The sequence below is a fragment of the Homo sapiens genome, chromosome 2 (genome assembly GCF_000001405.40).
Source record: "Homo sapiens chromosome 2, GRCh38.p14 Primary Assembly".
Taxonomy (NCBI): Eukaryota; Metazoa; Chordata; class Mammalia; order Primates; family Hominidae; genus Homo; species Homo sapiens.
In genome coordinates this window covers 173,953,920-173,977,199 of record NC_000002.12, presented here as the reverse complement: position 1 = coordinate 173,977,199, position 23,280 = coordinate 173,953,920, and the positions used below count along the sequence as shown (strand labels likewise).

General features: G+C 42.1%; 1 protein-coding gene across 3 annotated transcripts in view, besides 6 other annotated features; it reads left to right on the top strand.

Moving 5' to 3' along the window:
- Positions 11,498-23,280, top strand: part of SP3 (Sp3 transcription factor) — a 64,928-nt gene continuing 53,145 nt past the window's right edge. The window contains exons 1-4 of one of the 3 annotated variants that reach the window (NM_001172712.1): positions 11,498-12,035; positions 12,647-12,795; positions 13,326-13,439; positions 20,968-22,327. In NM_001172712.1, coding sequence (NP_001166183.1) covers positions 12,029-12,035; positions 12,647-12,795; positions 13,326-13,439; positions 20,968-22,327 — 1,630 coding nt within the window. In that variant the 5' untranslated portion in view covers positions 11,498-12,028. Of the gene's footprint in view, positions 12,036-12,646; positions 12,796-13,316; positions 13,440-20,967; positions 22,328-23,280 lie in introns of those variants that run through there. The other 2 variants (NM_003111.5, NM_001017371.5) reach the window with 2 other exon arrangements.
- Positions 11,580-11,649: a silencer, noted in NCBI's record as "silent region_12121". NCBI's record gives its function as "represses an Ori minimal core promoter by ATAC-STARR-seq in GM12878 lymphoblastoid cells {active_cell/tissue: GM12878}" and the evidence as "EXISTENCE:reporter gene assay evidence [ECO:0000049][PMID:35858748]".
- Positions 12,150-12,429: a silencer, noted in NCBI's record as "silent region_12120". NCBI's record gives its function as "represses an Ori minimal core promoter by ATAC-STARR-seq in GM12878 lymphoblastoid cells {active_cell/tissue: GM12878}" and the evidence as "EXISTENCE:reporter gene assay evidence [ECO:0000049][PMID:35858748]".
- Positions 12,490-13,312: an enhancer, noted in NCBI's record as "H3K27ac hESC enhancer chr2:174828616-174829438 (GRCh37/hg19 assembly coordinates)". NCBI's record gives its function as "activates a minimal SCP1, AML or CMV promoter by ChIP-STARR-seq in naive H9 embryonic stem cells {active_cell/tissue: H9 hESC(naive)}" and the evidence as "EXISTENCE:reporter gene assay evidence [ECO:0000049][PMID:30033119]".
- Positions 12,760-13,249: a silencer, noted in NCBI's record as "silent region_12119". NCBI's record gives its function as "represses an Ori minimal core promoter by ATAC-STARR-seq in GM12878 lymphoblastoid cells {active_cell/tissue: GM12878}" and the evidence as "EXISTENCE:reporter gene assay evidence [ECO:0000049][PMID:35858748]".
- Positions 13,313-14,136: an enhancer, noted in NCBI's record as "H3K27ac hESC enhancer chr2:174827792-174828615 (GRCh37/hg19 assembly coordinates)". NCBI's record gives its function as "activates a minimal SCP1, AML or CMV promoter by ChIP-STARR-seq in naive and primed H9 embryonic stem cells {active_cell/tissue: H9 hESC(naive and primed)}" and the evidence as "EXISTENCE:reporter gene assay evidence [ECO:0000049][PMID:30033119]".
- Positions 13,380-13,629: a silencer, noted in NCBI's record as "silent region_12118". NCBI's record gives its function as "represses an Ori minimal core promoter by ATAC-STARR-seq in GM12878 lymphoblastoid cells {active_cell/tissue: GM12878}" and the evidence as "EXISTENCE:reporter gene assay evidence [ECO:0000049][PMID:35858748]".

The following is a 23,280-nucleotide window of genomic DNA, read 5'->3' as shown; positions in this document are numbered from 1 at the left end:
CAGATATATATATGTGTGTGTGTGTGTTTATATATACCATTTTTCTTTCTATAATCTTGCTGTTATATTTGCAGAAATATATGTGTTTGTGAGGAACTCTGTGGGTTTATTCATTTGGCCTTTTTATGCATTTACTTTTAGCATACATTAAACACACTTTTAAAAGTGTGCATTTCTTTTCTTTCTTTCTTTTTTTTTTGAGACAGAGTGTCGCTCTGTCATCCAGGCTGGAGTGCAGTGGTGTCATCTTGGCTCACTGCAATCTCCGCCTCCTGGGTTTAAGCGATTCTTCTGCCTCAGCCTCCCAAGTAGCTGGGATTACAGGCATGCACCACCACACCTGACTAATTTTTGTATTTTTAGTAGAGACAGGGTTTCATCATGTTGGCCAGGCTGGTCTGGAACTCCTGACCTCAGGTGATCCGCCCACCTTGGCCTCCCAAAGTGCTGGGATTACAGGTGTCAGCCACTGCGCCCGGCCTAGGCCTAACATGTGCATTTCTTGCCATTCCACTGTTTATCCATGGATTTCTTTCTTTCAAAATATTCATTTCTAAGCCTTTTTTCATATACTTCCATCTCCTCTTCAAAAAAGTTTCCACAATTAAATTAGTCTATGTTAAACCCCCCAGGTATAGGAGCCTGAACCATCCCCTGTGCTATTCTCACAGAGTTTCACTTTCCGTATTTACTAGTTTTTTTTTTTTTTTTTTTTAAATGAAGCTTCTGGCTAGGCGTGGTGGCTCACACCTGTAATCCCAGCACTTTGGGAGGCCAAGGTGGCTGGATTACCTGAGGTCAGGAGTTCTAGACCAGCCTGGCCAACGTGGCAAAACCCCATCTCTACTAAAAATACAAAAATTAGCCGGGCGTGGTAGCGGGTGCCTGTAATCCCAGCTACTCTGGAGGCTGAGGCAGGAGAAACACTTGAACCCTGGAGGCAGAGGTTGCAGTGAGCCAAGATGGCGCCACTTCACTCCAGCCTGGGTGACAAAGTGAGACACTGTCTCAAAAAAAAACAAAACAAACATAAAATGAAGATTCTATTTACTTTTTTCTATTTATAAAATAAGGTATAATTTACATATAGTAAAATTCACCCTATTTAGGTATACAGTTCTGTGAATTTTGACTACTCTGATACATTTTCACTATTGTAATGCGAATAGTTTCTTCTTGATTTTTTTTTTTTTGGTTTGTTTTTTGAGACAAGGTCTTGCTCTGTTGACCAGGCTGGAGTGCAGTGGTTCGATCACGGCTTGCTGCAGTCTTAACCTCCTGGACTCAAGCAATCCTCCTACCTCAGCATCGAGAGTAGCTAGGATCACAGGTGCATGCCACCACGGGTGCAACCACACCCAGCTAATTTTTTATTTTTTGTAGAGACAGCATCTCCCTATGTTGTCCAGGCTGGTCATGAATTCCTAGACTCAAATGATCCACCCATTTCAGCCTCTCAAAGTGCCGAGATTATAAACACGAGCCACCATGCTTAGCCTGCTTCTTGATTCTTAATAGATGTTTAAATTCATCAATAAGGAGAAAAGTGACTTGAAATACTTTATCTTTGACTAGGTCTATGTCAGTTTTAATAAGTAAAACCCTCATTAAATTATTGTTCATTCCCTAAATATCCCTTTTTCTCTTGAGCATGAGATTCAGAAGTATTAAATTCTGTAGAGAAGATGACATTGGTAAATTTTGTAGGAAATCAGCAAATGGAAATATCAGAAAGTTATGATTTAATTTAAAAAGAGTCAGCATGGATTCACATCTTATCTGCCTCAGTGATATGAAATAACTTCTGGGTCTAATAACAAATATCAGCTGAGGGAAGCCATGAACCAATTACTTGTATTTTAGGATAAAATACCATGAAAAGAATACCAGACAAACAACTAATCTAGAAGTTAGATAAGTAGTATAGGGATGAACTACTTAAGTAAACAATGACTTTGATATCAAAGTGTGGAATAGTTTGGAATGGATGGGTTACAACGCTCCAGGGATCAATATTAGGACCAACTTTGTTCATTTTTATATGTCAGTGATTTGGAAGAAGTAACATGCAGTAAGCTTGTTATACAAAACTAGAGGGAGGGTCAGTCAATACAAAGAAGGAATGAAATGACTTGAGTAGACTAGGGACATAAGCAGATAAGTGGCTTATTCAATTCAGTGTGGAGGAAATATGAAGTAGAAAGATTATCTCATGGTAGGCTGGGCTCGGTGGCTTACGTCTGTAATCCTAACACTTTGGGAGGTGGAGGCAGGTGGATTGCTTGAGCTCAGAAGTTCGAGACCAGCCTGAGCAACGATGTGGTGAAACCCCATCTCTACAAAAAATACAAAAATTAGCCGGATATGGTGGCTCATGCTTGTAGTCCCAGCTACTTGGGGGGCTGAAGAAGGAGGATCGCTTGAGATTAGGAGGTGGAGGTTGCAGTGAGCCAAGATGGCACCACTGCACTCTAGCCTGGGAGACACAGTGAGACCTTGTCTCAAAAAAAAGAAAGAAAGAAAGAAAGATTATCTCAGTAATGTGAAATCAGAATATTCAAAATAGAGTAAAAAAGTACAAACTCATGAGTTAGCAAGCATGCCAGAAACAAAATAATTCCAATGCAATGAGTAAGACAGGAATATTGACTATAGAATTTAAAGAAATGCTTTTTTTTTGAGACGGAGTTTCACTCTTGTTGCCCAGGCTGGAATGCAATGGGGTGATCTTGGCTCACTGCAACCTCCACCTCCCAGGTTTGAGCAATTCTCCTGCCTCAGCCTCCCGAGTAGCTGAGATTACAGGCGCACACCACCACACCTGGCTCACTTTTGTATTTTCCGTAGAGACAGGGTTTCACCACGTTGGTAAGGCTGGTCTTGAACCCCTGACATCAGGTGATTCACCCACCTCAGCCTTCCAAAGTGCTGAGATTACAGGCGTGAGCCACCGCGCCTGGCCAAGAAATGCCACAGTTTTAATATACTAGACTAAGAAAATAACTCAGTGAAATATATGTAATTAGAGCAAAAATAAAGTCATTTGCTGTTAAAGGTAACAGAACCTTTAAATTATGGGTGTTGGCCAGGTGCGGTGGCTCACACCTGTAATCCCAGCACTTTGGGAGGCTGAGGTGGGCAGATCACCTGAGGTCGGGAGTTTGAAACCAGCCTAACCAACATGGAGAAACCCTGTCTCTACTAAAAATACAAAATTAGTCGGGTGTGGTGGCGCATGCCTGTAATCCCAGCTACTCGGGAGGCTGAGGCAGGAGAATCGCTTGAACCCGGGAGGCAGAGGTTGTGGTGAGCCAAGATTGTACCATTGCACTCTAGCCTGGGCAACAAGAGTGAAACTCCGTCTCAAAAAAAAAAAAAAAATTATAGGTGTTAATCAGTTCCAGAAATCTCTTAAATTAGGTGACTTCACCATCTATTATTGTTTTATAATTTATGTATACATTGCGCACATTTTATATATCAAATGGTTCATAACAAAAACATTCAAACATATCCTTACGTTTTTAATAGTTGGTTCAGCTGGTGAGTACCAGTTTTTTGGCCCCTTTATAATCAGCAGGTCATATTACTAACAGTTTCTCCATTAAAATAAGAAGTCTGAATGTTTAATCCTAAAAGAATCCAAATTCATGGCTTGTTGAAATCAATGTATTGTTCAACAGATATCTATTAATTATCTTCTATTTGCTCAACACTGAAAAATTGTCTCCTAACTCTTTCATTATACAACATGCCTCTTTTGATAAAACATAAAAGTCTCACATTTTCCTTTAATATTTGAAATTCCAGTAAGTTAAGTGTTATAGCTTTTAAAAACATCCCTATGGGACAAAGAGCTGTTTTGTTTTCAAATGATACCTCTCCTTCCTTGGAAATCACTGCTTAAGAACCATAGAAAGAGTAAGATAATGCTTGTGCACAAAGTGCTTATCATTTAAATCATGGTGACAATACTAAATCATGAATTAAGAGTAATATTAAGGGGTATACTCTAAGGTTAATGGAAAGTTAGAGATGAGGGAATGACCAATAGCTGGAAGCAGTGGCTTTTTAAATTTTTATTTTTGAGACACGGTCTCTGTCACCAAGGCTGGGGTGCAGTGGCACAATCAAAGCTCACTGCAGCCTTGACCTCCCTGGGCTCAGTTGATCCTCCTGCCTTAACCTCCAGAGTAGCTGGGACTACAGGTGCACACCACTATGCCCAGCTAATTTTTGCATTTTTTTGTAGAGATGGGGTTTTGCCACGATGCTAAGGCCGGTCTTGAATTCCAAAGTGTTGAGATTATAGGTGTGAGCCACCACGCCTGGCCAGCAGTGGCTTTATGGAAAGAGGTTAAGACTTGAACTGAAGCATGGGGAGGGGAGAAGGAAAATCCTGGTGGCAGAGGGCCAGTAAACTTTGTGGTTAGAGTGACTACAGGACAGTGAGGAGTTGGGAGAGATGACCTGATATGCATTAGATCATTTGAATCACTCAGGTTTTTTGAGCCAGGTTAAGGAAGATTAATTTGATGGTAGATATAGAACAGAAAGGAGCAGGAAAGTCTGGAGGCCTGTCTAGGGCAGCAGAAGTGGGCCAGGGCAAAGCATGCTTTGATCCCTTCCAGAAGGAGCTGACTGACCCCCCAGTGATTTCTGAATTCGGAAGGCAGTCCTTTGGCAAAGCATCTGATGTATTGTAGGCTTTGTTATTTCTCTTCTCTATTATTTGAATTTGTGTATGTTTACATTTTGCTACTTGCTCTGTGGCCCAGGATGGAGGGCAGTGGTGCAATCATGGCTCACTGCAGCCTTGACCTCCTGAGCTCAAGGAATCCTCCCATCGCAGCCTCCCAAGTAGCTAGGACTGCAGGCATGCACCCCCATGTCTGGCTAATTAAAAAAAAAATTTTGTAGAGTTGAGGTCTCAGTATGTTGCCTAGGCTAGCCTTGAACTCCTGGGCTCAAGTGTTCCTCCTGCCTTTGCCTCCCAAAGTGCTGGGAGGCATGCATCACTGTGCCTGGCCTATATTTTCTTTTTTTTTTTTTTGAGTCTCTCTCTGTCGCCCAGGCTGGAGTGCAGTGACACGATCTCGGCTCACTGTAGGCTCCGCCTCCCAGGTTCATGCCATTCTCCTGCCTCAGCCTCCTGAGTAGCTGGGACTACAGGTGCCCGCCACCATGCCCAGCTAATTTTTTTGTATTTTTAGTAGAGACGGGGTTTCACTGTGTTAGCCAATACGGTCTCCATCTCTTGACCTCGTGATCCATCTGCCTCGGCCTCCCAATCCACCCGCCTTGGCCTCCCAAGGTGCTGGGATTACCGGTGTGAGCCACCGTGCCCAGCCCTATATTTTGTTTCTTAACTGGATATCCACTCCTTGAGGATAGGGACCATGCAGCATCTTGTAGAGCAGGGTTCAATAAATGTGATTTCAATGAACAGGTAGCTGAGAGTGTCTGCAGGAAAACTTGGCAGGCAGCATCTGGTAAGTGGCTGCCTATGGGAGAGGGAAGGGAGGAGATGTGTCAAAGGTAATTTCCCGTATGGGCTTCTGAGAGAATGATGGCCTCACTGTCACAGACAGAAGCATCAGAGGGGAGGAGGAGCTGGTTGTGTAGAGAAAGTTATGAGTTTAGTTTTGAACATTCTGAGTTTGAGGTGAAAGTGAGACATTCAAGAGGAATTCACAGTGCTTAAACATATAGAACATGGCCGGGTGCAGCGGCTCACACCTGTAATCCCAGCACTTTGGGAGGCCGAGGCGGGTGGATCATTTGCAGTCAGGAGTTTGAGACCAGCCTAGGCAACATGACGAAACCCCGTCTCTACTAAAAATGCAAAAAAAATTAGCTGGGCATGGTGGCGTGCACCTGTGGTCCCAGCTACTCCGGAGGCTGAGGCAGGAGAATCGCTTGAACCCAGGAGGTGGAGGTTGCAGTGAGCTGAGATCATGCCAGTGCACTCCACCCTGGGCGACAAGAGTGAAATTTTGTCTTTAAAAAAAAAAAAAAGGATATAGAACAAGAACTCAGGTGACAGGAGATAGAGATTTGGGAGTGAGTTTGGAGATGAGGGCTGACATTGCAGAATGCTGTGTTTCCAGCTTCTGAAGAAAAGCTCGGGGAACCAAAAACAAAAGAAACCCTAAAGCAGCACTGTCTGATAGCCACTAGCCACATGTGGCCATTCACATTTAACTTTAATTAAAATAAAAAAACCTTCAGTTCTTCAGTCATACTAGCCACATTTCCAAGTTCCTAATGGTCACATGTGGTTAGTGGCTATGGTAATAGGCAGTGCACACAAAGAATATTTCCATCACCACAGGTAGCTTTTTATGGGACTGCACTGTAAAGATACAGAGAAATATATATTTGAGAGAAAACCAGAAAGCTGATAATGTTCAAGGGAGGGGAGAGTGTTAAGAAGGAAATATTTACAGTGTCAAATGCTGAAATTGGGTGTAGAATTATATTAGGAAGGCAGTAGGAAGACAGCAAGTTACTGAGACTTTGGACAAGGAAAGGGAGGAAAGAAAAAAGATAGTAGCTAGGGACAACCACAGTCACATGGAGGATTTTTAAAGATAGGAAGGAATGTTTATCTTCAAACATAGCTATGTTTGAAGACAAATGGACAAAGGCCTGTGAAGATGGTAAGAGTCCCCAAACCCAAGCCTGCCCTTGCTTCTCTCTGTGGCTCTAAACTCAATTTGACAACAGTCTGTTGGCTATCCATCTCATGGAAGTCCTGCTAGCACCTCCAGCTCAGCACATCTAAGAACAAACTCATAATGGCCCACCACTTACTCATGCCCTTTTAAGATCCTTTACTTCAGTTCATCTTTCCAGTTACTAAAAGCTGGGAAACTTAGTATATTTGAATCATTCTCTTTTGCCTCCAGCCCTTTGATCAGTTACCTGGGCATACTTACTGCAGTACTTCTCCTATCAGTTACTTTTTTTTTTTTCTAGTTTAAAATAATGCTCATAGTATTTCAGGCAAGGAGAACAATATAGAGAATACAATAATAATACACTCAGCCTAGCTTAAGTTAAATTTGCAAATGTAAACAAAGCCCATGGGAAACTCATTCAAATGCCATTCTCCTCTTCATACCAAGGGTAATCACCGTTTTAAATTTAGCACACCATTCCTTTGCAATTACAGTGTTACTACATATGTATATATCCATATATAGTATAGAATATAATTTGGTACATTTAAAAACTTTATATAAATACAGTAGTAGCATAACATTTATTCTTCTATAACCAGGCTTTTTTCACACAGTATTGAGATTTATCCATGATGGTCATCTCTTTTAATTAATTATGGATTGTTCTGTTTATATATTAATGCATATATTATACATATATACTTATGTGTGTATAGATTATACATATATATGTGTGTGTATAATTGCATTTTTTATTCCAGCTGTTTGGTTGGAATGGAGTGATGACATGGTGCAGCACTCAGCCATTTTAGGGGGAACTCGAAAAATTCTGTTCCTTAAAGCAGGTAAAAGCTGCCTTCAATATTTTCTACAGTTCTATCCAACCTTCTCCTAACCACATCATTTTTTTTTTCCCCTTTCTCTTACCTTCTCTAACTAGGCTTTGGGTATCATTGACTCTTTTGAGATTAGTTGTTGTTTATGTCTGGTTTATATGACCAAAGAAAATAAACAAATTCTATTATCTAATTGAATCATAAAGTATGAATACACTCCATGCTGAAGGTTGTTGCTCCTCATTTAAGGACATCACACTTTAATGGCTTGAGGTTATTTATTACTATTTTTGAGAAAGGAAGAGATGAAATATGAGGGGGTTAAGTGTATTTAATGTAAACTAAAATGTTTCTGAAGTGTGATAGTGATTATGTAGTAGAACAACTTAAGATCCTTGAAATCCAGTGTGAACAGGTTAAAGAGCTCTAGGATGGTTAAAAGTAAGGTCACAATAATAGAAACAAAGGTTATGTTCTTGAGACATTAATTTAGGTTGAATGATATAGAATTGTCACCTTTTAAGATAAAAAACAGTTGAATACTGGCAATTTCATATGGTCCACTTGATAGACGTTCAGGAGGGAAGAAATGCAGAAGTAGGGAGTGTGAAGGAAAGGGCATAGGTCTTCAGGTGTGGTACCGTCAACCAGGGCCATCACTTTTTAATACTGAATGGCTAGGCTCTTGCAGATGTAGATCAAACCGTATTTAGTTGTCTCTTCTGTTTGTAGGGAAGAAACGGGTTGCAAAATATTCCATGCCAACAGGTGTATAGAAGCCTTCAGGGATTTTTCACCGTCATCACATTTCCAAAGGATTTAAGAAAACTTACAAAAACACATGACATTTTAAAAAGTGAGGAAATCGAGGATATGGGAAAAGAAAGTGACATCCAGATCTCCTAATATGATGTAAACAATGGCCAGCACAGTACTTCCTCAAATCGTTTTGGAAGAAAAAGTATAAATAATATCCAGCACTGTGATTCTCTCCCTGCTAAGCAACTGCAATTTTGGGTTACTATGTAAATGTAGCAGTAGGTGCCATTGAGAGGCAGCTTTCTAATAAGAAAATAAGTATTTTAATTAAATTGTATTTCGGCCGGGCTCATGCCTGTAATCCCAGCACTTTAGGAGGCAGAGGCGGGCGGATCACAAGGTCGGCAGTTCAAGACCAGCCTGGCCAACATGGTGAAACCCTGTCTTTACTAAAAATACAAAACTTAGCCAGGCATGCTGGCGGGCGCTACGTGATCCCAGCTACTGGGGAGGCTGAGGCAGGAGAATCACTTGAAGCCGGGAGGCGGAGGTTGCAGTGAGCCGAGACCATGCCATTGAAAAAAAAAATTTGTATTTCAAGATTTGACTACAATACTGAAATAGGTAGGAAAAGGTGTTCTTTCAAGAGACTATCTTCATTTCCAGCCATTTTAAAAAGCTATTCCATGACAATAACTCAAGTGTGGTCTAAGAGGGTTCTCTGAATCTGACTAAAGTAGTGAGTGATGCTTTTGGTATATGCATCTTTTGTTAAAAAATTTAAAAAACGGATACATATTTGTACATATTTATGGGGTACATGTGGTATTTTGATACATGCATACAGTGTTGTAATGATCAAATCAGAGTGTTTAGGGTATCTATCACTTTGGACATTTTTTTTCCGCCCCCTCTCCCCTGTCACCTTGAACATTTGTCATTTCTTGTGTTGGGAACATTTCAAATCTTCCCTTCCAGTTATTTTGGAATATAAAATATATTGCTATTTACTATAGTCACCCTACTGTGCTATTGAACACTAGAACTTATTCCTTCTATCTAACTGTATGTTTGTACCAATTAACCAACCTCTGTCACCCTACCTCCATATGTATCTCTTAAAAGCATCGCATCAAAAGCAGTATAGTTAGTTCAGGTAGGTTTTTTTTTTTGGGACAGTCTCAGTCTTGCTGGAGCGCAGTGGTGCCATCTCGGCTCACTGCAACCTCCACCTCCCAGGTTCAAGTGATTCTCCCGTCTCAGTCTCCTGAGTAGCTGGGATTACACGTGTGCGCCACCAAGCCTGGCTAATTTTTGTATTTCAAGTAGAGATGGGGTTTCACCATGGCAATCAGGCTGGTCTCGAACTTCTGACCTCAAGTGATCTGCCTGCCTTGGCCTCCCAAAGTGCTGGGATTACAGGTGTGAGCCACCACGCTCAGCTAGGCTATTTTTTTCTTTTTCAGAAGTGTTTTTTTTGCTTGTCAAAATGGTCTGCGGACGTGCCGTCCCCACCCCCCAAAAAAGAAAGAAAAAAGACAATTCATGTCTCATATCATTTGCCAATTGGTATCAATGAAGAAACGAATTTAACTCCTGTGGCCAAGTACTTTGCTCTCAAGGTGGCTGGACTAACACTTTGCAAAAAGGGTATGGCGATAGCGTAGAACATATCCCCACTCCTGAAAAAAAAAACAAAACAAAACTGAAAATGCCTGAAATATCCTTTCTAGGGAAAGAGCTACCTTCCACCCAAGAGATCCGGGTAGGAACAGAGTGATAATAGTGACTTCCCTTCCTCCCTCCCAGTCCACTTATTTTCACCTGTCCCGCTCTTCAAGGCACCCATCTCTTTTTCCATTTTCCCCACCCCAAATCAGGTTATTTTGTGACTTTTATTTCCTTAAAAGTTTTTGTTGTAAAATAGTACATAGGTTATACGACTCAACTTTGAAAGTGACTTTTCCACTTAAATATGAGACTACAAGGACTATTAGAAGAGATGAACCCTATTCTTGGACTCAGAATTTTGAGTCTCGTTTCCGCATGTTTGTGGTTTTTAGGTTAATTCCCTGGAAATTTGATCTTTGTACAATTAAGAGCAAAGTAACCATACAATGTTTCTGATCCTGTCAGCATAGGCGGTTAAGTGCTTTGGAACTGGGATGTAAACTCAGTATCTCACAAATGGATTACCTATTAAGTTAGGACACACAAAATCTGGTTAAAGTGCTTGGACTTCACAACCTCATCCACCAGCACATCACATATCACACAAAATATAATAATCACAGTAATGGGAAAACTGAATCTTGAGCCAGATTTCTAAAAAACAGGTATTGTGGACAGTGTTTCCACCTCTTGAATTTAACTTCTTTCTTGGCAACTATACTTGAAGGTAACAGGGAGAGATGTCTCTTAGTTGGCAAAACACACACTTAAAACCTGAGCATTTTCCCCCAGGATGACAGCAAGATACCAAGGATGCCAAAGAAGGAAGGAGTGTTAACCTAATCCAGTAAGAGAAACAAGATTTTAAAATACAACAAAAATGTTCCAATGGGGGAAAAAAGGTAGTTCACCGGTTCACGACTTTAAAAAACGTTGGCAGTGGTTGATGGGCTTATTTCAGGAGATATCTGACTTGGTACCAAGAGGATAAAGAGGCCGGGAATAATACGTTTGTGCAGCAAAATGGTTATGTGACCGATTTTTTAAAACACAGAATTCTGCCCCACTGAATACATACACATACCACAAGTAAAATGAAATATACTTTTAAGTGCCCGTTTTGGTGCCACTGGCCAAAATTAAAACTCTCCTTCCGTATGTGAGGTGACTTGAGATTTCTTTTTTGCTTTAAATGCCTGCCTTCAGGGTACGTGAAAGTGGGAGACCGGTTGGAAAACTGGGGCTAAGGGGGCTGGGAGCGAGATGGCTGTGACTGAATCAGGAAGCTGGATGTGAGAGAGAAAAATCCTCCTCCAGCCTCGGAGGGGGTGTCTCCCCTAATACCAGCTCCCTCCCCCCGGGCTCGTGGGGCGGGTCTGGTTTGCTCAGTAGCGGCAGCGGCCGCAGCAGCAGCCCCGGGGCTGAGCAGCGGTGGCCTCCTGGCAGCGCAGGGAAGCGGCGGCTCCAAGAGCGCGAGGCCCTGGGGAGATCCGGCCAAGACTGCTGCCGGGATGGAGGAAGCGTCCAGTGGAGCAGGAGTCACCGGGGACGAATTTCCTCCCCAGCTCAGCTCCCCTACAGCTTGGCTAGGCCTGCTCCGAGCGCCTGCAAGGTGGAGGAGGCCTGCGCCTCGGGCCTGGCAGCGGCAGCCGGCGAGGGAGGCGGGCACAGCGGGGTAACCGGCGAGCCGTAGCCGCTCTCGAAAACCTACGCTGCCACGGCCGCTCATTGTCTCTCCCCTTCCACCCGGGGGCAAACAGGAAGCGCGCCGCCTGGCAGACCGACGGACAGGCGCCTGGACCAATGAGCACAGCCGACAAAGAGCACGGCGGCGAATGAGAGCCAAGAAGAGGGGCGGGAGTTCCGGGCGGGCTGTCACCCTCTTCCCCCCTTTTGGGCTGGAGGCTCCACCTTTTGTGTTTCCCGCACAGTCAATCAAAATAGGAAAAAAAAATCCCCGGACCGCTCCGGCCGTGTCCGCCGCCGCTTCCCGCATCCTCTCCCGCCGCCGCCGCCTTCGCTCCTCACCATGTGTAAGGCGGCGGGGAGCCCCGCCTGAGGTGCCCTAAACACACTATGACCGGTACGTAAAGCCGAGAGAGCAACCCTTGCTGCTGCCGCCGCCGCCGCTGCCGCCGACCACAGCCAGCCCGGGGCCGCTGCCGCCGGTCTCGGCCCCGTGTGTGCGACCGAGTGTCTGTGAGAGGCAGAAAGCTGCACTCCCCTGCGCCTCCCTCCCCTCCCCGCCAGCCACCGTCCACCCCCGAAGCCCCAGCAACGCCGTCTCCCCGCCAGGCCCCGGGGCGGGCGGCCCGGTCCGCCGGGAGCGCATCCCCCTGTGTGCGGGCGCGGGCGGGCGTGTGTGAGTGACTGACGGTGCGAGAGGAGCGAGCGCGAGTGAGAGCGAGCGGCGCGAAGGGAAAGGGGAGGAGAGGAGAGGGGGCAGGGGCAGCGCGGGGAGGAGGAGGAGGAGGGAAAGAGGAGGAGGAGGAGGGTTACAGGCAGCGGCGGGCGGGGGCAGCAGCAGGAGGGGAGGAGGGAGCCGCCGCCGCCGCCGCCGCCGGGGGGCGGGTGGGGGAGGGGAAGGGGCCTGGGTCCGGGCTTTGGGAGTAATTTCGCTTCGGCCCGCGGGCCCCCTCCCTCTCCGCCACCCGCCTTCCTCCCCACCCCCACCCCCCCGCGCTGTGCCTGCAGCTCCCGAAAAGCCCGTGAAACAAGAGGAAATGGCTGCCTTGGACGTGGATAGCGGCGGCGGCGGTGGCGGCGGCGGCGGCCACGGCGAGTATCTGCAGCAGCAGCAACAGCACGGAAACGGTGCGGTGGCGGCGGCAGCGGCGGCCCAGGTGAGGAGCGGCTGAACCCCGGCCCGGCTCCCCCCTCGCGCCGCTTTCTCCTCCCCTCGCCTCTCCCCTCCCTCCTCGCCTCACCCCTCCCTCCTCGTCTCTCCCCTCCCCTCCACTCCCCTCCCCCCGCCCCGGGAGCTGCCCGCCCGAGGCGCCAACGCTCCGACCCCGCCCGCGCCGCCCCGCCTCGCCCGCCTGCCGCCTTTTTGTGCGCGTGTGAGTGTGGGCCCCAGCGTGCCCTCCCGGGGGTGGGTTCCGGGCGGAAGGCGGAGGCCCGGCGCGCAGCCCGCCGCCCGCCTGCCCGCGGACCGGGGAGCCGGGGTGCTTGGAGCGGGGGACGCCAGGCGTGGGCTGGCGGCGGGACCAGGAGGAGGAGGAGGAGGAGGAGGAGAGCGCGGGCTGGCGCTTGCCCGGGCGCAGTCGGCGGGGACCGAGTCGTACTTCCTGTGCGAAAGGCGGCCCGACCCTAACCGCCACCCCCTCCCCCTGTCTCCCTCTCTGAACCCGCCCATTGGGGGTAGGACACTCAGCCGTCACCGCTCGCTCTGCTGGCCGCTACCTGCAGCAAGATAGGGCCGCCATCGCCGGGCGACGACGAGGAGGAGGCGGCCGCCGCAGCCGGGGCCCCCGCCGCCGCCGGAGCGGTAAGTCCCGCGCGCGGCCCGCCCCCGCCGAGGCCGGGCGCCCGCCATCCCGGACCCGTGGCGCGCCTGCCCAAAAGGCCTCCCCGGCGCCCGCGCTTCCCCCGACCCGCACGGGCCGCTGGGCTCCAGGGCGCCCTTTCCTGCTCTTTCGCATCCCGGTTTGGATCTGAAGCCAGCCCAGGCTTTCTCGAAATTGTCACTGCAGCACCTCGCGCAAAATCTTCACAAAATGAAGTCTGAGAGGGCGGGGGTAGAGGACTCCAAAATGGATGTTTGAGCAATTCATATCAGTGCTGAAAACTCCTTCGCTTAACACTACAAAATTTTCAAGCACAGCCTATCGGCCATAGATAGTATCAACTAGAGGCAATGTCTTTAGTTTTTATTATTTTTGAACCTGGAGCATTTTCTGTTGGACGTTACAGGATCTTACTGCTTTAAATCATACATTATTAAAAAAAATGAGGGTTTATTCTTTGAATTACCCTTTTGTATGCAGGAGTGAAGACTGCTTTTTTAGTTGACCATTCAAAATCGTTGAATTTTAGTTTTTGCAGACTACTAAAATTTGCAGTGACTTTTTTTTTGTAAGGGGGGTAAATGAAACATTTAGCAGCCTTTGAAATCAGCAAGTTGCTTAGATAGTACTTTAGATTTTGAAACTGAATATAACAGTGTTAGAAAAGTATGTGTAAGGAATTGTATTTACGTGCATACTAGTAGTACAATACTTATAGCTGAATTTGGTTGGCAAAAGTATGTTTTCATTTTATTACGACTGCTAGTCAGGTAAGATATGGTGGGATTCTTTCTGTAGTGTTTTCAGTGTCTGGGCAAGGGGAGGAGCTCGCCTGTGTTATATGAGGGGTTAATACCAATAGGATAGGAACAGTTTTTAGACTGTTAATTGTGAATTTTACATTTGGGTCATCACTGTTGTGTAGATTTGTTCACCTATTAAAATAATGAAAACCCTCATTTGAGTGTGTGTGTGTGGTGGATCATAGGAATTGATTTGTGGAGTGATACTTTCAATAGTCACTGAAGACAGAAGTTTGGTATTTGGTATAGTCTACAACAAATGCTTAGTATGTCCAGGTATTTTTTTTTTTTAAGTTAAACCAATGTTAAGCTATTACTGGTAAATAATTTGTAATTTTAGTGCTTCGTTATAGGGGATGTGAATAGTTTTAATGTCTTGTTTTTTCATAAGCAGATTAACATGTAAAAATGTAAAATTATATTAGGCTTTGTTATTTTTAAATACATTTATGGATTGGTACGCCTTCTGTTCACCTCATTTCAGCTTCGCTGAGAGTTGGTAGATTTTTTTATGAACTGTATCCCTCTAGTTCCAAAGTGCCAAAACAAATTGACTGTATCTTAAAAAACTACTGCATAAGTAAAATTAAAAAGCAGATTGCTTCTCCTGATCTTTTTTGTATTTCAAATGGAACAAAACTTTTCTTGTAACTGTAATTTGTAAAGTTTAGATATCAGTTTACAGATGGGGGAGGGGAGAAGGAAGGAAATATGGGTGAATAATATGTGTATGTACATACATATGTGAGTCTGAGGCCCAAGGATAGAATACTGTCTCCAACCTTAGCCAGCTGTGGCCATATACTTGTAGGGAAGTTTCCATGCTTCTTCAGCTGCTTTTCTGAATTACCAAATCACTCCTGACAACACATATTCTGCCACATGAAGACGAACTAGAATCAATCTGATAAATCTGAGATTTATCAATCAAATACATCATAATTTGCCAATCATAGTAAAATGAAAATAGTTTTGCCTAAAAAAAAAAAAAAAAAAAAAAAAACCCAAACCATATATTTATGATGTCTGGTACCTGCACCCAAGATTTTTCACTTTGAGTAAAATTGGTAAGACTGGCTTGTGTGTATTTGCCTTAGCAAATAGAAAATTTGCTAAAAATTTATTTTTCCAGTGCAAATATGAACTTAAGACATCTTTTCAGCACATCTTAGAAAAGGAAATTCACATGAGTTCATGGGCTTAGATAATCTTTTATTACTCAAATGACTGGGAATTATGAGAGGTTATAGCTGTGTTTTTAAATAATTGTATTTTGGAATAATTTTAAATTTATAGAAAAGTTGGAAATACAGAACTGAGTAATCTCATACCCTTCATCCAGCTTCCCCTAATGTTAGGATAATGATGATACATTTGTCCAAATTAAGACATGAACATTGGTATGACATTACTAACCAGACTTTGTTTGCGTTTCACCAGCTTTTCCACTAATGTCCATTTTCTCTTCTGGGATCCAGTCCAGGATTCCACATTGCATATATATTGTTGTGTTTAAACAAGTGGAAATATACACATACAGATGAACTTTATGCCAGTTTAGCTTGGTATTTTGAGATTAAAAGGGCCTTGAAAAGCCAATCAACTGTGCTGAAGATTGCTTTTAATATTTGGATTTTGAATTTGGAATTTGTCATAAAAGAGGATCCTAGCCAAGGGTGTTTGGTTACCCACAGTACATTGCTGAAGAAGTCTAGTCATAAAGCAGTCTCGTATATAATGTCGTACAACATGGACTCTGAAAGATGGTTTTATAGCAACGCTCCTTTGTACTTAAGTTGTGGCTAATTTTAGTAGTAAACCAGGAAATAGAAAAAAGTAGACCTTTGTGCAAGTATTAACTTTGACCAGTTTGCATTTATGTGAACTTGTGGATTATTAATTTACTTCATTTTTACTTTAGTGGAATAAAATAAGTGACTTTTATTTTTATTTTTATTTTTTTGAGACAGAGTCTCACTCTGTCGCCCAGACTGGAGTGCAGTGGCGCGATCTCGGCTCACTGCAGGCTCTGCTTCCTGGGTTCACAGCATTCTCCTGCCTCAGCCTCCCGAGTAACTGGGACGACAGGCGTGTGCCACCATGCCCGGCTAATTTTTTTTTTTTGTATTTTTAGTGGAGACAGGGTTTCACCGTGTTAGCCAGGATGGTCTCGATCTCCTGACCTCATGATCTGCCCACCTTGGCCTCCCAAAGTGCTGGGATTACAGGCGTAAGCCACTGCGCCTGGCCTAAAATAAGTGACTATTATGAAAGTGATTGCTTGATCTTTGGTTTAGGTTGTAAATTTAGTGTTCCTTAATTTGGCACATAAATGTTGAGCTAAAAAATAAGTAATAGCTTACTTCAAAAAAGTTATTTTGCCATTATTTAAAATAAGACCTGTGCTGTCATTGTAACTAATTCATTGGGTAGGGTAATTCTATTTGAAGTCTGAGTTCTTTTAGTGCTCTTTGAAGATTTTAAGAAACTTGAATATTTGCCTAAGTTCTTAATTTGTTTCCACCTCAGCTTCACACCTGTTCTTGTTTCCAGTTATACTCCTTCCTTTCCTATTTCTGGCTTTCGTAAAGGCATTCGTGGGAACTAAGTTAATAATCATTTCCAAATGCTATGCAATAGGTGGTGTGAATTTTTTCTTTTTCCGTTTCCACCGGTATATTTGTATGTAGAGAGACTTAGAGTGCCTTAGTTACAACTTTTTACTGTACTAATGCCAACATTCATGTTAGATGGTGTTTTGTTTGTTTTTTGAGAAAGGCTCGCTTTGTCTCCCAGGCTGGAATGGAGGTGTGTGATTACAACTCACTGCAGCCTCAACCACTGGGGCTCAGTTGATCCTCCCACCTCAGCCTCCCTAGTAGCTGAGACTACAGGCACGTGCCACCACGCCTGGCTAATTTTTGTATTTTTTGTAGAGATGGGGCTTCGCCATGTTGCCTAGGCTGGTCTTGAACTCCTAGACTCAAAGGATCCACCTGCCTAGGTTTTGTTTGTTAATTGTCCGGTAAGAAAGGTACTGAGAGAAACACTGGTGGATTTTTAATTTGGTTTGTAAACTTACGTAGACATAGGTTATGTAGAGGATTATCTTGCTTCTAAACCAAATACTAGTTCTCGTCTTGGTTGCCTGTTTTAATTTTTTTTATTTTTATTTTTATTTTTTTGAGACTGAGTCTCGCCCTGTCACTCAGGCTGGAGTGCGGTGGCGGAATCTCGGCTCACTGCAATCTCCGCCTTCCAGGCCCAAGCCATTCTTCCGCCTCAGCCCCCAGAGTAGCTGGGACTACAGCCCCAGAGTCCCAGAGTAGCTGGGACTACAGATGTACACCATGCCCGGCTAATTTTTGTCTTTTTAGTAGAGGCGGGGTTTCATCATGTTGGTCAGACGGGTCTCAAACTCCTGACCTCAAGTGATCTGCCCGCCTCAGCCTCCCACAGTGCTAGGATTACAGGCGTGAGCCACCGGCCCTGTCACGGTTGTACGTTTTTAAATCTCCTTTTATTCTTTTGTTTCTGTAGTGTTTCCAGTAGTCTAACATCAAACATTTTTCAAACTTTTTTTTTTTTTTGGTCTCAGATGATTTTCTAATTTATTCCTCTCCCATTTGGTATTTAGTGTACTTTATCTCTTTTAGTGGTATATTGCTGATGAAATTTCTTTTACAAAGAAATTTGATTGTGCTTTGCAAGGCTTTGTAGTTTTGAAATATTTGGAGCTGATTCATTGTGGAATTGTGGAAATAAATAGGCTTAAAATTGGTTTAGACTTTTTCATAGAAGGCTCTTAATACCTCAAAATTTGTTTTGATCCATTCTGTCATTGTGTTTGCAATGATTTTAAAGTAAAATAACTTTTCATTCAGTAAATATATATTGATCTTACTGAGTGCCAGGAATTGTGCTAGGCTAATTTTAATGGATGTTTTTCAAATCTATTCTCATAATCTTAGCACTCACAATGATCTTGGGATTGCACAGTGCTCAATAGTTTATAAAATTTAATATTTTTCTTCTGATTCTTATGCCCCTGCAAGGTAATGTTTTTCCGGTTGTTGACATGAGAAAATTGAGTTGCTGTAACTCACACAATTCCACAGTGTAGCCAGAACTAGAACTCAGTTCTGAGCTTTTTTTTTTTTCTTGTGTAATATATTGTCGAGTGTAGTTTTGGCATAAATCATCTAGTAGTTTTCTGATTCAATGTGTTTTTTCCATTCCATTTAGAAAATAGGGTATTCAGCAAATTTTTTTAAAACTGCAAATTTATTAAATTAAAAAAGTTCCTTTTCTTGCTTGATTCTTTTCCTTAAATTACCTGTTGCTTTTTTTTTTTTTCCCCCATCGTTGTGCTTCACAGGTATTTTAATAATGCTTTTCATTTCAGGCTTATTCAGAAAAGTTCGGAATACATCACTTTGCTCTAGGTTTAGAGATTTTCCTTCAATTAATGGCCTGAATTGCTGAGAAAAATGGCACTACAGTTTATTTTTATCTAGCTTCTGGAGAGGGGATGACTTGGGCAATATTTACTCAGATTTGTCATTTGCGTTAGCTGTATTTATTTTCAAGGAATTTCTTGACTAGAAAGCTGTTCAGTGATGGTTGAATATCTGCCTTTATTACTATTTTGTAAAAAAAAAAAAAAAACACTTTAGGTGCTGTAAATTTGACTTTGTTTTTTTTAAAGAAAGGAAAAGGGACAAAATGCCAGTATCATAAAATTAATTTGTGTCTGAGTTACTATATTCTTTGATAAAAGTTCAATACCTGTAAATTTTATGCTGGTCAGAAAAAATTTCAGTGGATCCTCCAGGTGAGCAATAACCTTAAGAAGATAAAGGTTAGATTTTAGACACACTTTAGTGTAGATTTTAGTATATAGATTTAAATATTTGTAGTTTACTTAAAATGCCAAGAGACCGAAATGAAACATTTGTCACTGTAATGTTAGGAAAGGTGACTTAACATTGTAATTTCTATACCAGATTGAAGTTGCAGAGTGACATGTGACTTTAATGTCTGATGCTTCATTTTAAAATTGTTTAGTAAATATAATTTAAGTGTATTTAAGACAGATCGCTATTTTATAGTTCAGGCCTAGAGATTTGTATTGGGTTCCACAATTTCTCAGCCTTTAGTCTCCTCCCTTTCTTTCAGTCTCCTTCATTGAGCCTTAGTTTATCTTTATAAGACACAGATGTGATTGCACCACTCACTTGCTTATAAACCTTTTATAGCTTTCACTCACTATCTACAGGATAAAGTCTAAACAATTTAGTGGGATCTGTGAAGCCATTTACAAGCGTTGATAAAAATATCTAGTCCTGTTCCCCATTACTTTCCTCTATGAATATGAGCCTTTTTGGGATCTTTTCTTCAACTCCAAACTGCATATTATTATTTAGGGTTTCTTTTTGTGATTTTATTGTTTCTATGCTTTTATTAGTGCCTCTTTTTTAACTGACTACAGGAAAATCTTATATTCTAATACTACTTTATCTCTGTATGAAATCTTTTTTTTCAATCTTGTGTCTTCCACAGAGTGTTTTGATCATATGACTAGTCTGTGCTACTTTTCACATTGTATTAGCATGGATGTGTGTATGTCTGCTTGGATTGACAGTGAACCGTTTGAAGATTGGGATTGTATGTCATGGGTTTACTCACGTGTGTATTTCATCTTGGTAAATTACGTTCAAATGTTTGAATTCAGTCATTTAACTGTGGTTCATCCACTGAAATAACTGTATATATTTCTCAACTATGTCTTCATGAAAATTAGGTAGTGAGTTTCTTTAAGAAACTTAAGATTTTTTTGTTTATCATATTTGCATTAAGTTTTATAGAATGGTTTATGTTGAGAGAACTGTGTATGTCTCAACTGATTTTTATGGTCCCATTGAGATTCCCATTGAGAATATAATGAAACCCTAGATTATCTTTCTCTCCCTCAAATTGTATTAATACACCAGAATACAAAAGGTATATGCCAGACATTCTACTGAAAACTTAGACTAGTAAGTAAAGTCACAGTGTGTATCCTCCAGCTTCTGATCCTAGAGAAACCTTTCAAATGGGGCTACGTTGTCATGTGGTCACAGGGCAATGACTTTTTCTCATTAAGTTTTTTTAAGGTCTTTGTTTTTCATTAGTTCATGGAAAAAGTAGAGTTTGATAGCTTAATGGAATAGCCCTAGCCATGAGTTTACTTTAGAGTATGTTAATAGATGCCACAAAAGAGTAGATTTCATTGTTTGATTTTAGGCTTATAGCAATAAATCTTTTCTAAGTCGGATGACTTAATACACTATGCTTATGTTTCCTTTTTATACACAAATATAATGCACCTGATTTGGTCATAGCCATCTCCACTGTTTTGTTTTGTGTTTTAACTGTGTAGTGTTAGAGATCATAGATGCAGGATTAGAAAATTGGTCTGTGGTTGTGATGAACATTCCGAGAATTTTTTTTATCCCACTCAAATAGGATGAATTGTCTTTGCAGTAACAAAACTGGAAGTGATAATTATTGTAGTTCATATAGTACTGCTCCTGTATTTGAACTCCATTGTGTTTTAAGATAAGTTGAATTTTCAGGTAGTAGGATTTATACCAGTTTTTAGAATTTTTTGAGGGTTGATTTAAATATACCACAAATATATCACCTTTTTGTTTTCTTCATCCAGACAGGTGATTTGGCTTCTGCACAGTTAGGAGGAGCACCAAACCGATGGGAGGTTTTGTCAGCCACACCTACAACTATAAAAGATGAAGCTGGTAATCTAGTCCAGATTCCAAGTGCTGCTACTTCAAGTGGGCAGTATGTTCTTCCCCTTCAGAATTTGCAGAATCAACAAATATTTTCCGTTGCACCAGGATCAGATTCATCAAATGGTACAGTGTCCAGTGTTCAATATCAAGTGATACCACAGATCCAGTCAGCAGATGGTCAGCAGGTTCAAATTGGTTTCACAGGCTCTTCAGATAATGGGGGTATAAATCAAGAAAGCAGTCAAATTCAGATCATTCCTGGCTCTAATCAAACCTTACTTGCCTCTGGAACACCTTCTGCTAACATCCAGAATCTCATACCACAGACTGGTCAAGTCCAGGTTCAGGGAGTTGCAATTGGTGGTTCATCTTTTCCTGGTCAAACCCAAGTAGTTGCTAATGTGCCTCTTGGTCTGCCAGGAAATATTACGTTTGTACCAATCAATAGTGTCGATCTAGATTCTTTGGGACTCTCGGGCAGTTCTCAGACAATGACTGCAGGCATTAATGCCGACGGACATTTGATAAACACAGGACAAGCTATGGATAGTTCAGACAATTCAGAAAGGACTGGTGAGCGGGTTTCTCCTGATATTAATGAAACTAATACTGATACAGATTTATTTGTGCCAACATCCTCTTCATCACAGTTGCCTGTTACGATAGATAGTACAGGTATATTACAACAAAACACAAATAGCTTGACTACATCTAGTGGGCAGGTTCATTCTTCAGATCTTCAGGGAAATTATATCCAGTCGCCTGTTTCTGAAGAGACACAGGCACAGAATATTCAGGTTTCTACAGCACAGCCTGTTGTACAGCATCTACAACTTCAAGAGTCTCAGCAGCCAACCAGTCAAGCCCAAATTGTGCAAGGTATTACACCACAGACAATCCATGGTGTGCAAGCCAGTGGTCAAAATATATCACAACAGGCTTTGCAAAATCTTCAGTTGCAGCTGAATCCTGGAACCTTTTTAATTCAGGCACAGACAGTGACCCCTTCTGGACAGGTAACTTGGCAAACGTTTCAAGTACAAGGGGTCCAGAACTTGCAGAATTTGCAAATACAGAATACTGCTGCCCAACAAATAACTTTGACGCCTGTTCAAACCCTCACACTTGGTCAAGTTGCGGCAGGTGGAGCCTTCACTTCAACTCCAGTTAGTCTAAGCACTGGTCAGTTGCCAAATCTACAAACAGTTACAGTGAACTCTATAGATTCTGCTGGTATACAGCTACATCCAGGAGAGAATGCTGACAGTCCTGCAGGTGAGTCTTAAGTTATGTCATGCCATAAATAAGTTCAGTGATAATACATAGAGGGAAATTTTTTGCTTTAGGTATTTATCAGCATCAGACTCACATTAGAATTAATGATCAATGTTTGTATGAAAATATGTTTGTATGAAAGTAGACATCAAAGTATCTTCCAAATTATTCTTTGAAAGTTTGTAGTTTTTGAAGTTAGGGATTCATGTTTCTATTATGCCAATTAACATTTATAGTTTTTTCTTAATTTTATATTTGTTTTGACATCTGATTGATATTGTCAGGCATTATAAAATTTTTATTTGGCAGGTAGGGTGTCTTGGTTGGCCTTAGTGTGATGTGAATTAAAATTTTTATGCATTATATTTGGTTGAGGAGTCAGGTTGGTATAGTGAAAACATGGTACAGGGAGTAAATATGCCTCAGCCACTTGCTAGGTGTGTGATTTTGACCAAGTTATTTTTCTTTCGCAAACTCAGTTTCCTTGTTGTGTAAAATGGAGGTGTTGGACTAGGTAACTGTCTAGGTGACCTTCCAGACCAAAAATTCTTTGATTCTGTGATAGTGGGCATTAAACTTAGCTGTGCTAGAAATAGTTGTCAATAGTATGGGTAGACATTTCTGAAGTCTGCTCTTTGAATGTTGTGTAAGAATTAAATAATAAAGTTTAAAAAGAGATAGTGTCATTTTTACCCTATTAATGTTGTCTGTCTAGATAACATTTGATTGAATGTTTTGTTGTGCAGTAAATCCTGAACTTTATTACTTTAATTCTGTTTTGTATTTGGATTTCTGTGGAGATTGTACTACTAACATTCTTTCACCAGGTCAGTGATTCTAAACTCTTAAATTGGGACACTTTAACTGAACTGATTGACATAACTCCCATCACCATTTAAAGATTACCTTTTTTCTTTTGATAAATTTGTGATACATGCTTAGAAAATTGAAAT